Source organism: Homo sapiens, chromosome 6 (assembly GCF_000001405.40).
Source record: "Homo sapiens chromosome 6, GRCh38.p14 Primary Assembly".
NCBI classification, from domain to species: domain Eukaryota; kingdom Metazoa; phylum Chordata; class Mammalia; order Primates; family Hominidae; genus Homo; species Homo sapiens.
In genome coordinates, this window is record NC_000006.12 from 7,217,290 (window position 1) to 7,233,542 (window position 16,253).

The 16,253-nt window shown below is 48.1% G+C and overlaps 1 protein-coding gene across 4 annotated transcripts in view; it reads left to right on the forward strand.

Annotated features, from left to right (window-relative positions):
• Positions 1–16,253, forward strand: part of RREB1 (ras responsive element binding protein 1) — a 144,238-nt gene that overhangs the window by 109,547 nt on the left and 18,438 nt on the right. For all 4 annotated transcript variants that reach the window (NM_001168344.2, NM_001003699.4, NM_001003700.2 and 1 more), the window contains exons 9-10: positions 9,178–9,367; positions 11,708–14,618. In NM_001168344.2, the coding sequence (NP_001161816.1) occupies positions 9,178–9,367; positions 11,708–14,618 (3,101 nt within the window). The remainder of the gene's footprint in view (positions 1–9,177; positions 9,368–11,707; positions 14,619–16,253) is intronic.

The window sequence follows — 16,253 nt, forward strand, 5'->3', positions numbered from 1 at the left end:
TGAGAAGGAATGCCAGTCTCTCCATTAAAACACAATAATGAGGAAGGAATTCAGTATCTGAAGGAAATGGTCAAGCTGAGTGGCAGCTTCTCGGCAGGTATTTCGCAGGTTCTTCTGATGAGGGTTGCAGGGAGCAGGGAGTGTCAGCATTAGGAAATGCTCCCAGCTGAGCCAGCGTCCAGGCATTAAGGATGTGTGGGTCACATAAGGAGCCAGGGCATCTGCAAATAGCTGTCCTCTGAACGCACAGCCTGGCAGAGTGGAACGAAGCCAGCCGGCTCCGTCCCAGCCTGCCGCCTGGCAGCTCTGTGACCTCGGGCAAGTGCTGACTTGGTTTCCCTATCTGGAAAATAGATTTGAAGGCTGTTGTGAGGATGAAGGGAGATAATCCACAATCCTCAGAGTGTAACAAATACTAAATGAAATTTTTCTTCTGATACTATTATTTAGAATGTATTTTTTATATAAAATTTTATATAAAATTAAAATTTTTAGATATTTTAAACCTTCCAACATTTACAGTTATAGGTGTTGTGGCACTCTATGGCTATCCCATTCCAATGGAATTGAAAAGGAGTCAACTTCCAGGTGCGATTCACTTGGCAGAGAACATGAAAGCAATTTGTCCTTTACTCTTATAAACAGCTGTTTTTATCTAGTTTTCGCTTTTGTAAAGATTGGGAAATGGAGTGGCTCTTTAAATTTGGTTTGAGTCTTGCTTCCCACGTTTCTTAATCCCACTGTGTGAAAAGCAGATATTTAGAAACGTGAAGGAACTCGACACCTTTATGTAACAGAACAACACATCACTTTCTTTAGATTGTTGGGGGAACCCTAGGGTTCTAAGGAAGTGAGTTTCCTGATGTTTGAAATTTGCCAATGCAGCCTTTCAAAAATATGCTTAGCATAGTTTAAAAAAAAGAAAATTCACCCTTCTTGCTGATTGTGAGGAGGTCAGATATCTGTCCCTCAGCTGTCACAATGGTAGACTTGATGGAGTTACATGACAGAGAAGAGAGCCCAAGGAAGCACCTGAGTGGTTTCTCATCTCTGGGCCACTCTGTTAAGGCCTGTTTGTTGACTTTGGGATTTTCATCTTATTCTGGAGAGTTAAGGTCGCCAGATGAATAAAATACTACTGTTAGTGAGCACTGGGGGAGCTAATCCCAAAACTGTTTAGCCACAAGGTTAAGAAGTTAAAAAAAAAAAAGAGACTTTTGGTGTCCTTGTTTTCCATTTCTGTAAATCACATTGCTGATAAATTTGCCTTTGGGCATGCACCCTGCCCATTTTAGGTACTAGGCTCAGTTACTGGCTACAGATTGCAGATTCCCTTTTCAGGGCTGATGCTTTTAACAGTGATAGTTATTCCTGATAAGTACCTTAACTCTGCTGTGAGGTATCAAAACTGCTGGATCTATTTTTGGCTGCCTCTTTACCATTACTCCCTCTAGAGAATGTCCATACCATAACAACATATTTACATATTTATCACACTGCATTTCTATCCCAGCTCAGAATTGTGCAACTTTCTTTAAAAAAAAAAAAAAAAAAAAAAGGATATCCTGTCTTCTTCCAAGGACATTTGCTGTCAGAAGAACAGATATCTGTGCCCTGCCTAAATAGGCAGACTGTGTAGCACAGACAGCCATTAATTCAATGCTTTTTAAAATTTTAGGGCCTCACGGTGGCTCATGTCTGTAATCTCAGTACTTTGGGAGGCCGAAGCAAGGGGATCGCTTGAGGTGAGGAGTTGGAGACCCGTCTGGCCAACACGGCGAAACTCCATCTCTACTAAAATACAAAAAAAAAAAAAAAAAAAAAAAAAAAAAAAGCCAGGCACGGTGTCTCAGGCCTGTAATCCCAGCTACTGGGGAGGCTGAGGCATGAGAATCGCATGAATCCGGGAAGTAGAGGTTGCAGTGAGCTGAGATCGCACCACTGCACTCCCTCCTGGCTGACCGAGTGAGACGCTGTTTCTAAAATAATAAAAATAAAATAAAATTTTAATTTACTTTTGTTTTCTTAAGACTTAGTGAATCTGAGTGTGAATAAGAACATTATTTGTTGTATTAAAGTCCCTTGAGGATTGAAAGGACAAAACCCCAGCTAGCAACTGAGTGTATTTTCTTGACCTGTTGGAGCTGGTTGGTCCCACCCCTCGCCCTATGTACCTCCTGCCTTTGGTGACTCAGGCACGTGGTCAGGCAGTGGCTGGCGGGTTGGGTCTCTGTGACTTCAGGACAGCGTGGAGTTCACCAGCTCGTGTGGGAGTCAGACTTCTCTGACCATGTTAGCGCTGTGCCCTTTCCAGCCCAGCAAGGGTCAGAGCCAGTATGCTGTGGGATTTGGCTTGTCTGTTTGATTTTTGGAAAAGGGACAGTAAGGGCTGTGACAGTGCCTGTGTAGTCACTGACAACCACAGGCACTTCTCTAAGCACATATCAGAGACTCTCTGTGATCGTGGTTCCCGGCCCCTGGTGTTGGCAGCCACCTTCCTGCCATCTGTGCCTTTACATACCAGGGGCCATGTAGAAAGAGCTTACCTTATGACCTGGGAGTCGTCTTCCTCCACTGGGACCCCCAGCCCTTCTCTCTACTTCACCCTACCCAGTGCCGCCAGGGACATTACAGTTGATACTAAGGGAGGAAGGAAGGGATGGAGGATAAGTGCAGGCAGCTGCTTCACCTCTGCTGTTCCAGGGAGCCCCAATTCCACACACCCCAACACCACAGCCCCCTCCTACCATCTACCCTGAGAACTGCTAGAGCCCCTCCACCCCATAATAGGAACCTCCACAGTGGAGCAGCCCCACTGGAGGCAGGACCCACAGTTCAGCGACTGGCGTGTCATACAGGGGGTGGGGAATGGTCCAATCTACTCCAGCACTCTAAAGTTTCTTATCCTCTTACAGAAACACTGGCCAACGTGTGCTAGAATGCAGGTGTTTTCTGGGTGAAACAGGCTCTTGTGCACTGTCTTGGTACAGAAACACTTATTTCTGTGAGCAGTGATTTGGAGTTCACATATGCTAAGCAGCTCCTGTAAGTTGAGGTCAGGCTGAATGTCCATTTTGGATTCCGTGTGTAATCTAACCTTAATCTGTCATTTGGAGATTTTTCCACTGATGATTTTTTTTTTCTTCCTAAAAGTAATGTAGTGTGATTTTAAAAGAAAAAGAAAGTTTTGTTTTTGAAAGGGTCAGTGGGGTTTTGTTAATTTTCTTTAAATTCTACAAAGAGATACACTTCCCCCAAATACATTTACTTTACTGACAGCAAAGTTAGTTTCCATTTGGAAAAGTTATCCTGTTTCCAACATCGAGTTATCTCTGTTGCCAGAAAATCAAAAGGCAGCCAATCCGATTTGTAAACCTTTCCTCTGGCACATTGTCAAGATCTCTTGCAAAACGAAATTGTCCTACAGCCCTCCCCTCTCCTGTGGCTCTAAGTGCAGTTCTGCCCCATCTAAATATTAATATTTTGCAATCGTGCTCTTTATGAGCCCCTGGCAGAGTGGAGATACGCCACAGACGGGTTGAGGAGAGAGTCGTGGGGACCACCTGGCCAGTGGCTGTGGTCTTAATGGAGATTGACAAGCCCAAAGGAGGTTTGCAAATACCCTGATGCCTGCAGCCGGCTTTGCATCCAGCAGCTCCCTCCACAGATTTACAGTGGCCTCTATTGTCCTTGAAGAGCTGCTTAGAAACAAGGTTGCAAAGCTTTCTCCTTGGGGCCTTGGGAAGGCTGGATGAACCCTCGCGTCTCCACCTGATAGGGCTGATCCAAGTGTTTCTGGGTGGTGGTTTTCCACACTGGTTTTATTTAAGGTCTATCAACAGGTGCTGAGTGTGAGGCAGGGAGGCAAGTGTTTTTCTTTTTTTTTTTTTGAGACGGAGTCTCGCTCTGTCGCCCAGGCCGGACTGCGGACTGCAGTGGCGCAATCTCGGCTCACTGCAAGCTCCGCTTCCCGGGTTCACGCCATTCTCCTGCCTCAGCCTCCCGAGTAGCTGGGACTACAGGCGCCCGCCACTGCGCCCGGCTAATTTTTTGTATTTTTTTTTAGTAGAGACGGGGTTTCACCTTGTTAGCCAGGATGGTCTCGATCTCCTGACCTCATGATCCACCCGCCTCGGCCTCCCAAAGTGCTGGGATTACAGGCGTGAGCCACCGCGCCCGGCCGCAAGTGTTTTTCTGTGGGTGTTTCTTCCTTTTAACCAGCTGCACCACATGCTTCTGGTTTCAAAGCAGAAATTTCTTCTCTGCCACTTTCATGTTTTATGTCTTTTGACTTATAGGAGTGCCTTAGTTGAAATTCCATGAAAAGGGTGTGAAGTGTGGATCACCTTGCTTAGACTCTGTTAGGAGGTTGAGTGCTTGTGCAGGCTGGGAGAGCATGCACTTCTTTTCAGGAGGCAGGTGAAGGGAGCAGGTGGGATGAGGCAGAAGACTGGCCAGAAAGAACACTTTTCTCCCCATGAGTTTTGCAGTTAGACAGAAGTAGTAAGGACGATTGTGAAGTTCTTGAAAGTGAGAAGAGAGAACATGTTCCTTTGAAATTAAAACTCAGGTTTTCCTGATTTTTCACGTTAGCTAAAACGTGCCAGGAAACGGGCTTTTCCTGATTTCTTTTTTTCCCTAGTACAATAACATAATGACTAAATTTGGAAAAGTACTTTGCAGTTTTCAAAGCACTTTGTTATTCACAGTAACTGCAGAGATCCCCCCGTTTTAGATGAGAAGGGAAACTGAGGTGTGAAGAAGGAAAGGAACAGGAGAGAAGTGACAAAGATGAGTAAAGTATTGGTAATTTCTTTTCTCTGGGAGTTCTAACATTCTAACAGGCTTGTAGTTTAAGACGTTTCTAGATAGCAGATTCTCACACCTAACTCACTATATTTTCCAAACTTATCTAACTATAAGAATCCGCTGGTGTGCTTGTTCATATACAGATTCTTAGGCCCATCTTCTAGTTATTCTGATTTCAGTTGGTCTGGGGTGATCTAGGAGTCTGCTTTTTTTAACAAGGTCATGTGGGGATTCTTATCTCTTGGCATGTTTGGGAAATTTTACATAGCCGGCAGCTGAAGTGCACATGGAAATAAGTTGTCCAAGGTCACGCAATCTGAACTCCCTGATCCCCACCTGGTGTCTCTGGTCCCTGAGCCCACATCCCCCTACCACCCACTGTTCCACAGCTGCCTTCCCAGGGACACAGAGTTTGTGATCAATACTGAATAATTCTGCCACGTCTTTATTGTCATGCCTTCATCACCTACTACGTATGAAGGTGTCCAGAAACAGGAGGGATTTAAGGGTGAGGGAGAGAATGAAGAAGACAGACACAGGCATAAGAGACAAAAAGAAACCTCAATGTTATTAAAAATTCAAGCCAGGTGTAGGGGTGCACACCTGTAGCCCTAGTTACTAGGGAGGCTGAGACGGGAGGATTGCTTGAGCCCAAGAGTTCAAGGCCAGTCTGGGCAACATAGCGAGCCTGCCTCAAAAAAGAAAAAAAAATCACTACAACCATAGAGGTGCAGTAAATTCTAAATCTAATTGCCATATTAAGAGGCATTCATTCTCCATTCCCTTCATAAAACCTACTTATTAATGCCAGTCACACTAAATATTCATAACCAATAGGCTGTGCACTAGTACAGAAGTCTCAAAAGTGGAGAGTAGCCAAGCACAGTGGCTCACACCTGTAATCCCAACACTTTGGGAGGCCAATTCAGGAGCATTGCTTGAGCCCAGGAGTTCGAGACCAGCCTAGGCAACATGGTGACACCATGTCTCTACAAAAAATTTTAAAAATTAGCCAGGCATAGTGGCACATGCCTATAGTCCCAGCTATGAAGGGAGGCTGAGGTGGGAGGATCACTTGCGCCCAGGAGTTCAAGGCTGCAATGAGCTATGATCATGCCACTGCACTGCAGCCTGGGCGACAGAGCAAGACTCTCTTTTTAAAAAAAAAAAAAAAAAAAAAAGGCCGGGCACGATGGCTCACGCCTGTAATCCCAGCAGTTTGGGAGGCCGAGGCGGGCAGATCAGCTGAGGTCAGGAGTTCAAGGCCAGCCTGGCCAACATGGAGAAACCCCGTCTCTACTAAAACACAAAAATTAGCTGGGCGTGGTGGCGCATGCCTGTAATCCTAGCTACTCAGGAGGCTGAAGCGGGAGAATCACTTGAACCGGGGAAGCAGAGGTTGCGGTGAACCAAGATTGCGCCATTGCACTCCAGCCTGGGCAACAAAACAAAACTCTTGTCTCAAAAAAAAAAAAAAGGTGAAGAGTATTCAGGAAGATCTCTAGGATACAAGGAAAAAAATATATTTTTTATCTCACCCTTTTAAAATGTCTATTTGGTAATGTGCCTGGCACATTACATATATGCAAATACATATGTACATAAATACATATACTACCTACGTACACACATACACATTCTCAGCTAAACAACAAACACATGTGGAGCACATACGAAAACTTTTTTATAGAAGCGGTACACATTTCAGAAAGTTTGCAGCCACCTCTCAGTCCTACCTGCCTGCCTTTTGCAGTTGACTTGTATGCTACGAAAAGTCTCTTCCCAACCTGTTTATGTCTGTAATACTTGTAATAATTTCTTATAATTTAATTAAATTTTATATAAGCTGATGGAATGTTGTTTTAATAAAAGAAAAGAATAGTCTCTGTGGAAACTTATGTTGGAAAGGCTTAGTTACAGTGCAGATTGGACAGAATATTTTTTTTTTAGTTGCTGTCAAATTTAGGCTAGGTAAGATACCTGTGCACAGTTGAATGCCATAATCGTAAAAATCTAGGATTCTGCTTTAGTTTGGCTTGCAAAATTCTGGTATAATAAACTCGATGTACCCTTATCCAGTTTCAGGGATTATCAACTCACAGCCAATTTTGTTTTCTCTCTTCCCCAACCCAGGTAATTTCAAAACAAATCCCAGATATCCTATGTTTTATTTATAAATATTGCATTATATATCTTTTTTTAAAAGGAACCTTTTTAAAAAGCATAGCCAAAATATTATCATAACTAAAAAATTCAGTCACTTGTGAATATATCAAATATCTCTGATCAGAGTTAGATTTTCCCAATTCAGACATATCTCTTATCCTTTCAGTCCAATATAGATCTTTCAGCCAAGTGGTGGCGAGGTGATGGATTGGCGACCATGGGGAGGGTGCAATTGAACTTGAGCATGGGGGAAATGAAGTGGGGGTGGGAGAAGGAAGGAGCTCTATCTCCAGGACAGAGGCTGTTGTTGCCTCCAAGGGTCACTGTCCTCTCTGTGTGCACAGCTCAGAGCTTGAACGTATTTCAGCCAGAAAGAACCTCACCCAGAGGGGCTGTGTCCATTCTGCTTCCCCGCAGGATCTGTCTCATGGCCTGTGATTTAGACCGCTGGGTACTTTGACATCTGGGCCCGCAGTGTGAGGACTTCCAGCCCCTAAAGGTGTTCTTCATTATCCAGATCTGTCCCTTCCCTGGGCCTTGACCACAGTGGTGAGCTCAGCAGAATTCCCTCAAAAGGAACTCTGTGTTTTGAGTGGCTCATGGGAACCCGGGTTTGGGGTTCCAAAGGTAGCTGAGCAGTGACAGGAGAGTGCTCAGGAGAGGCCCTTCCTGAACAGGGGAGCCAGGGGAGGAGCATGCACAGCAGGACCGGGTTCTGCTGTGCCCGCTACAGCGCGATAAGGCAAGCAGGGCGGCACATACTGGCACTTCTTCCTTTCAGTGCTTCCTGAAAGTGAGCACAGCTGCTTCGTGGCTGACTTCGTTATCTCTTTATTTCCAGAGAAGACTCTCAACTCAAAAAAGTTTTCACTGATGTACATGCAGTGTGGACGTAAGCAAGTGGCTTTGCCTGGCTAAAACAGTGATAAAAGGAGCTACCTTAGCGGTGGTGAGGGTCAGATACGCTTGCACACATAAATACATGGAATGATGCTCGGTATACAGCATTGTCCAACAGAATATCCTGTGATCTTGGAAACATACTGTGTCTGTGCTTCCCGATGCAGTTGAGCCCTTAAAAGAAGGCTGAAGTGACTGAGGAACTTTAATTTAAATTTGAATAGCTACATGTGGCTTTGGTGGCTACTACATTCCATGCAAGTCTAGGGGATGTTGATAATACCATAACGATGGTATTTTGTTTTTATCCACCCATCTGCACACTGATGTAAAATTTTTAATATGGTTCTCAGTGAAGACCTAGAAGACAATACTGGTCTGAAAAGCAGAGACAATATTATAAAGTGGTGTTTGCTATGCATCTGTGTGGCCCAGAACATTTAGGATGTCAAAGATCATCTCTGAAATGAAGGGTCAGATTTTGAAGTGGACTGCCTCTGTGGGAGTCTTTCAAGGAAGGGGAGACAGCCTTGTGATAAGCATGGGTGGGAGCAGGAACTCAGGCTGACATTTTGTGTGTGCTTCTTACTGGCTGTGGGGCCTGAGTCACATCGCTTCGTATTTTTGATCACCGGTGTTCATCTGGAAGATGAGGGTCATGATACGCACCTGCCTGCTGGGGTTGTCATATGTGCTGAGCTGTCAGGGCGCCTGGGCTCAGTCCATGAGGACCATGGTTATCATTCAGATAATGATGATGCTAATACCACAACTTAATGCACAATCACCATCACTTCTAATTAGATTGGAAAATTTAATAATTTTTATCCCTATCAGATGCCAAGGATGCTGATTGATTGCCCTAGATACTACTTAAATGTATGCTCTTCTGACTTTTAAACATTTACAATAATTAGAATCCAGTGAACTCAGGGAGAGAGAAACCTCTGACATGATCCCATTAATGCCTGATCGAGGCGAGAGCGAGCAGGTCGGCCATGGTGGCTTCAGGATCCCAGCTGTCTTCTTGTGCTCAGACTGTGGGTGTTTAGGTCGTACGTACACCTTGTGCTGCCTGCAAAGATTTGGTATCCAGAAGTTGATAGAATACAACTTTTTTAAAAGGAAGAGGTTTTTGGTGCTAACCATGCAGCCTGGCTTCTTGACATCATATCATTTTTATTTTACTCAATTGAAATGAATCAACAAAAACTTAAGTCTGGAAGAGTGGAAACTCTGACTTAACTGCTTCCTCATATGCTCTCCCTTTCTGCCTCATATGTTCTCCCTTTCCTCTCCTAGATGTGACATTTGTTGTGTCACCTTTCGAACACATCGAGGACTGCTGCGTCACAACGCGCTTGTCCACAAACAACTTCCCAGGGATGCAATGGGCAGACCTTTCATACAGAACAACCCTTCAATTCCTGCTGGCTTCCACGACTTAGGATTCACGGACTTCTCCTGTAGGAAGTTTCCTCGCATTTCTCAGGTATTCTGATCAGCCCATGGAAGCAACCAGCAACTGCCTTCCATGGTCCACACAGTTAGACCATGGGAACTTCCTCTCCTCAGGGTTTCTTTCCTTAAAATGTCGGTTGGGCTTTGTCTTTTTTTGTAACACCTTTTTTCTTAAAATTATTGTTGGCCCTTTCGGTCTCCCTTGGGTTGTTGGGTTGAGAAGGCTGCATAGGCTTGTTTGGGGTTGAATATCCTATGAACTGTGCATCAGTCTAGCTCTTCTGTGCCTTTTGTCCGTTCTTGGGTCTTTGAGGTTTAAGTTGTCAGTTGTAGACCAGGCCCCAGTGGCTCACACCTGTAACGCCAGCACTTTGTGAGGCCAAGGCAGGAAGATCATTTGAGGTCAGGAGGTTGAGACCTGCCTGGACAGCACAGCAAGACTTTATCTCTACAAAAAATTTAAAAATTAGCCAGGCGTGGTGGTGTGCACCTAGTAGTCCCAGCTACTTGGGAGGCTGAGGTGGGAGGATCACTTGAGCCCAGGAGGTTGAGGCTGCATTGAGCCATGATCGTGCCACTGCACTCCAGCGTGGGTGGCAGAGAGAGATTGCCTCAAAAATAAAATAAAATTTTAGGGCCGGGCGTGGTGGCTCATGCCTCTAATCCCAGAACTTTGGGAGGCCAAGGCAGTCGGATCATGAGGTCAGGAGTTCAAGACCAGCCTGACCAACATGGTGAAACCCTGTCTACACTAAAAATACAAAAATTAGCCAGGCGTGGTAGCATGCACCTGTAATCCCAGCTACTCGGGAGGCTGAGGCAGAAGAATCGCTTGAACCCGGGAGGCTGAGGTTGCAGTGAGTCGAGATCGCGCCACTGCACTCCAGCCTGGGCAACAGAGCGAGACTCCGTCTAAGAAAAAAAAAATTTTTTTTTTAAATAAAATAAAAGTGGTGAATTGTAAAACACCCCAGTCCTATGATAATCGGAATTCGTGGGATTTTAAAAAAAAATCTTTCTTTACTATCTGCATTGCAGCTAAATATTCCAGCGTTGTGGTTTCTATTAAAAACAATTTGGGTCATTATTGACCTGAATAAGAAAAGAGCCATATATATTCACTGCTAATAAAGCACCTGCTAAAACTACTTTGAAACTGGCTGGGCACAATGGCTCATACCTGTAACTCCAGCACTTTGGGAGGCCAAGGCAAGTGGAACACTTGAGGCCAGGAGTTCAAGACCAGCCTGGCCAACACAGTGAAACCCCGTCTCTACTAAAAGTATAAAAAATTAGCTGGGCATAGTGGCACATGCCTATAATCCCAGCTGCTGGGGAGGCTGAGGCATGACAATCTCTTGAACCCGGGAGGTGGAGGTCGCAGTGAACCCAGATCATGCCTGGGTGACAGAGCGAGACTCAGTCTCAAAAATAAATAAATAAAACTAAAACTGCCTTGAAATTATTTTTTTCCCCATTTTAAAAAGTTGAGATAGAAGGTATCAACAGTGTTGTTGTTCAAGTGTACAAGGTACAAACTCAATGGATTGTTCCATATACACACACCCATGTGTGTGCACCCCCCAGGAGACATTCCTCATAGACCCTCCTAGGCAGCATCCCCCTTCCACAATCATAGAGGGGTAGGGTAGCTGATTCTCCAACATCTCTGGACCTCAGTTTTGCAAGGCACCCACTTTTACAAAGAGAATTAATTCTACCCTTGTGGTATTGTTACTTAACTATACTTCAGAATCTCTAGTGAGATACCCTGTGGGTTGATATCAGTTATCACGCAAACATGATTCTTAAGATGCTTTGTGGATTTCCTTATTCAGTCCAGTGTGTTAGCAAGCAGGAGAAGGTCAACTTTTTTTTTTTTTTTTTTTTTTTTTTAAGGCAGAGTCTTGTTCTGTTGCCCAGGCTAAAGTGCAGTGTGGCATAATCATGTGTCACTTCAGACTCAACCTCCTTAAGCTCAGGTGCTTTTCCTGCCTTAGCCTCCCAATAGCTAGGACACAGGCATGTACCACCACATCTGGCTAATTTTCTTATTTTTTTTTATAGAGACAAGGTCTTGCTATGTTGCCCAGGCTAGTCACAAACTCCTGGCCTCAAGTGATCCTCCCGCCTCAGTCTCTGGAGTAGCTGGGACTAGAGGCATGAGCCAACACACCTGGCTAATTTTTTTTTATTTTTTGTAGAGATACGGGATCTTGCTATATTGCCCAGGCTGGGAACTCTTTATGTTATGGGGAAAGGCTGTGTACTGGGATAAATGTACAACAAATACTTTGTGCATCTCCGTTTAGTGATTATTTTTTCAATCTTCACATGTGTTCCCTTGCTTTTACCGGTGGGTTCTATATAGGCCTGGTGCGAAACAAACCTGCGGAGGTGCATCAGCGAGCAACACCGTTTTGTCTGCGACACCTGTGACAAGGCGTTCCCCATGCTCTGCTCACTGGCTCTGCACAAGCAGACCCATGTGGCGGCAGACCAGGGTCAAGAAAAGCCGCAGGCCACGCCCCTGCCTGGTGACGCCCTGGACCAGAAGGGCTTCCTGGCCTTGCTTGGCCTGCAGCACACCAAAGACGTCAGGCCTGCCCCCGCCGAGGAGCCCCTGCCGGATGACAACCAGGCAATTCAGCTCCAGACACTCAAGTGTCAGCTACCTCAGGACCCCGGCTGCACCAACCTGCTGAGCCTGTCACCTTTCGAAGCTGCTTCCCTAGGCGGTTCTCTCACAGTTCTCCCCGCGACCAAGGACAGCATAAAGCACCTGTCCCTGCAGCCCTTCCAGAAGGGCTTCATCATCCAGCCTGACAGCAGCATTGTGGTCAAGCCCATCTCTGGCGAGTCGGCCATCGAGCTGGCAGACATCCAGCAAATTCTGAAGATGGCAGCCTCGGCTCCCCCTCAGATCAGTCTTCCGCCCTTCTCCAAGGCCCCTGCCGCCCCACTGCAGGCGATCTTCAAGCACATGCCCCCTCTGAAGCCAAAGCCCCTGGTCACACCACGGACGGTGGTGGCCACCTCCACGCCCCCGCCTCTCATCAACGCCCAGCAGGCTTCCCCGGGCTGTATCAGCCCCAGCCTGCCGCCACCGCCCCTGAAGCTCCTCAAAGGCTCAGTGGAGGCGGCCTCCAACGCCCACCTGCTGCAGTCCAAGTCCGGGACCCAGCCCCACGCGGCCACGCGGCTCTCCCTGCAGCAGCCGCGGGCGGAGCTGCCGGGCCAGCCTGAGATGAAGACGCAGCTGGAGCAGGACAGCATCATCGAGGCCCTGCTGCCGCTGAGCATGGAGGCCAAGATCAAGCAGGAGATCACAGAGGGGGAACTCAAGGCCTTCATGACAGCGCCCGGCGGCAAGAAGACGCCCGCCATGCGCAAGGTGCTCTACCCCTGCCGCTTCTGCAACCAGGTGTTTGCCTTCTCGGGGGTCTTGCGTGCCCACGTGCGCTCCCACCTGGGCATCTCGCCATACCAGTGCAACATCTGCGACTACATCGCCGCCGACAAGGCCGCGCTCATCCGCCACCTGCGCACGCACAGTGGGGAGCGGCCCTACATTTGCAAGATCTGCCACTACCCCTTCACTGTCAAAGCCAACTGCGAGCGGCACCTGCGCAAGAAGCACCTCAAGGCCACCCGCAAGGATATCGAGAAGAACATCGAGTATGTGAGTAGCAGCGCGGCCGAGCTGGTGGACGCCTTCTGCGCCCCGGACACCGTGTGCCGGCTGTGCGGCGAGGACCTCAAGCACTATCGTGCCCTGCGCATCCACATGCGCACGCACTGCGGCCGCGGCCTGGGCGGGGGCCACAAGGGCCGCAAGCCCTTCGAGTGCAAGGAGTGCAGCGCCGCGTTCGCGGCCAAGCGCAACTGCATCCACCACATCCTCAAGCAGCACCTGCACGTGCCCGAGCAGGACATCGAGAGCTACGTGCTGGCCGCCGACGGCCTGGGCCCCGCAGAGGCGCCGGCCGCTGAGGCGTCGGGGCGCGGGGAGGACAGTGGCTGCGCTGCCCTTGGTGACTGCAAGCCCCTCACTGCCTTCCTGGAACCCCAGAACGGCTTTCTTCACAGGGGCCCCACCCAGCCTCCACCTCCCCATGTCTCGATCAAGTTGGAGCCCGCCAGTAGCTTTGCGGTGGACTTCAATGAGCCCCTGGACTTCTCGCAGAAGGGCCTGGCCCTGGTCCAAGTGAAGCAGGAAAACATCTCCTTTCTGAGCCCTTCTTCCCTGGTCCCCTATGACTGCTCCATGGAGCCCATCGACCTGTCCATCCCCAAGAACTTCAGGAAAGGGGACAAGGATTTGGCCACTCCCAGCGAAGCCAAGAAGCCTGAGGAGGAGGCGGGGAGCAGCGAGCAGCCCTCTCCCTGCCCAGCACCCGGCCCTTCTCTTCCTGTAACTTTGGGGCCCAGCGGAATCCTGGAAAGCCCCATGGCCCCTGCTCCGGCGGCCACCCCGGAACCCCCAGCACAGCCCCTGCAGGGCCCTGTTCAGCTGGCGGTCCCAATCTACTCCTCAGCCCTGGTCAGCAGCCCTCCACTCGTGGGCAGCTCAGCCCTCCTGAGTGGCACAGCCTTGCTGCGTCCACTGCGGCCCAAGCCCCCGCTGCTTTTGCCAAAGCCCCCCGTGACAGAAGAGCTGCCCCCGCTGGCCTCCATTGCCCAGATCATCTCATCTGTATCCTCGGCCCCCACCCTGCTGAAAACCAAGGTGGCGGACCCAGGGCCCGCAAGCACTGGCAGTAACACCACGGCTTCAGACAGCTTAGGAGGTTCTGTCCCCAAAGCCGCCACCACCGCCACCCCCGCTGCCACCACCAGCCCAAAAGAGTCTAGTGAGCCTCCCGCTCCAGCCAGCAGCCCAGAGGCTGCCTCTCCCACCGAGCAGGGCCCAGCGGGCACGTCGAAGAAGAGGGGCCGGAAAAGGGGGATGAGGAGCCGACCCCGCGCCAACAGCGGCGGGGTGGACCTGGACTCCAGCGGGGAGTTTGCCAGCATCGAGAAGATGCTGGCCACCACAGACACCAACAAGTTCAGTCCGTTTCTGCAGACAGCGGAGGACAACACTCAGGATGAGGTGGCCGGAGCCCCTGCCGACCACCATGGGCCCAGTGATGAAGAGCAGGGCAGTCCCCCAGAAGACAAGCTGCTGAGGGCCAAGCGGAACTCGTACACCAACTGCCTGCAGAAGATCACCTGTCCCCACTGTCCCCGGGTTTTCCCTTGGGCCAGCTCCCTACAGAGGCACATGCTCACACACACTGGTAAGAGGGCCACCGGGCTCCCAGGCAGTGAGTCCTACTTCCTGGTAGGGGGAGCCACGAGTGGGGGTCAAAAGCGAGACCCATCTCCCACAGTTCCAGTTATTCCTAGCTTGGCTTCTTCCCCGGTCTCCGAAGCCCCGAGCTTGTCTGGTGGTGCTGTATTTCCTATGTGCTCTCAGTACCCACATGGCCTTTGTGCAGGGGCCGAGCCCTCCAAGGGCAGCATTCTACTAAGTGTTCATCCGGGGCGTTTTGAGGTGAAAGTGGTCACAGGCCCTCAGATCACTCATGGCGTCGCCTCATCCCTTCCGGAGGTGGTAGCCAGATTATCTGCTGGGTTAAACAGGGAGGCGGCTCCACAGACGTGAGACTTTGTATTAAGGTATTGGGGCATAATGAGCTCGGTGCTTTGACATTCCATTCCAGTGTCCTCAATGCAGCTTTTTAAATTTTGACAATTTTGTGAAGTTTTTTTGGATGCCATGTCTTCTTAAAGAGAAATATGACAAATTGTGAGGTTGGCTGTTTTCTTTCAGTTCACTAAGGCAGTCACATCTTCCCCTGTTGATTGTGAAAATCAGCAATGAGTGGTGGTAGAATGTTTTAAAATTTCTGTTTATACTACAATTGTAAGCCTTTCTGAGAAACTTCTCTCAGAAGGGCCTGGCGCTGGTCCAGGTGAAGCAGGAAAACAACTCCTTCCTGAGCCCTTCTTCCTTAGCCCCCTACGACTGCTCCATGGAGCCCATCAACCTGTCCATCCCCAAGAACTCACACCCAAGTGTGAAAAAATTCTAAGTAACAAACTTAAATTGTCAAAGTGATACCCCAAAAGTATCTTCCTTTTTTCTTTTTCTTTTTTTTTTTTTTTTTTAAATAAAAGAGTCTCACTATATTGCTCTCAAACTTCTGGGCTCAAGCAGTTTTCTTGCCTCTTCCTCCCAAAGTGCTGGGATCACAGGCATGAGCCCCCACACCTGGCCCCAAAAGTATTTTTCTTTTTTTGAGACGGAGTCTCGCTCTGTTACCCAGGCTGGAGTGGAGTAGTATGATCTCAGCTCACTGCAACCTCTGCCTCCCTGGTTCAAGCAATTCTCCCTGCCTCAGCCTCCCAAGTAGCTGAGATTACAGGCATGCGCCACCATGCCCAGCTAATTTTTGTATTTTTAGTAGAGATGGGGTTTCACCATGTTGGCCAGACTGGTCTCAAACTCCTGACCTCAGGTGATCTGCCCACCTTGGCCTCTCAAAGTGCTGGGATTACAGGCGTGAGTCACTGCACCTGGCCTGCCCAAAAATATTTTTCAAATGTTAGTTTCTAGAAGCTGATTTTTAAAGAGAAGTTTAGGATAGGAATATACTTTAAATAATTTTGTTATCAGGTGCTTCTAGTATATAAATGGCCATACAACTCTCATCTGAATTATAATTTTCTAAATTTTCTCAGTGAACAGTCTCAGTATTCAGTGATTTGTGTTATTGAACTAAGCGCAAATTAGTGAGATCCTATCTTTTTGGAGTTTACAACCAAAATATTAATAAATAGATAGGGCCTAAAACCAAATGGTACTGGATTGGTGAATAAAATACAGAACACCAGTTAAACTTGAATTTCAGATAGACAACAAATAATTT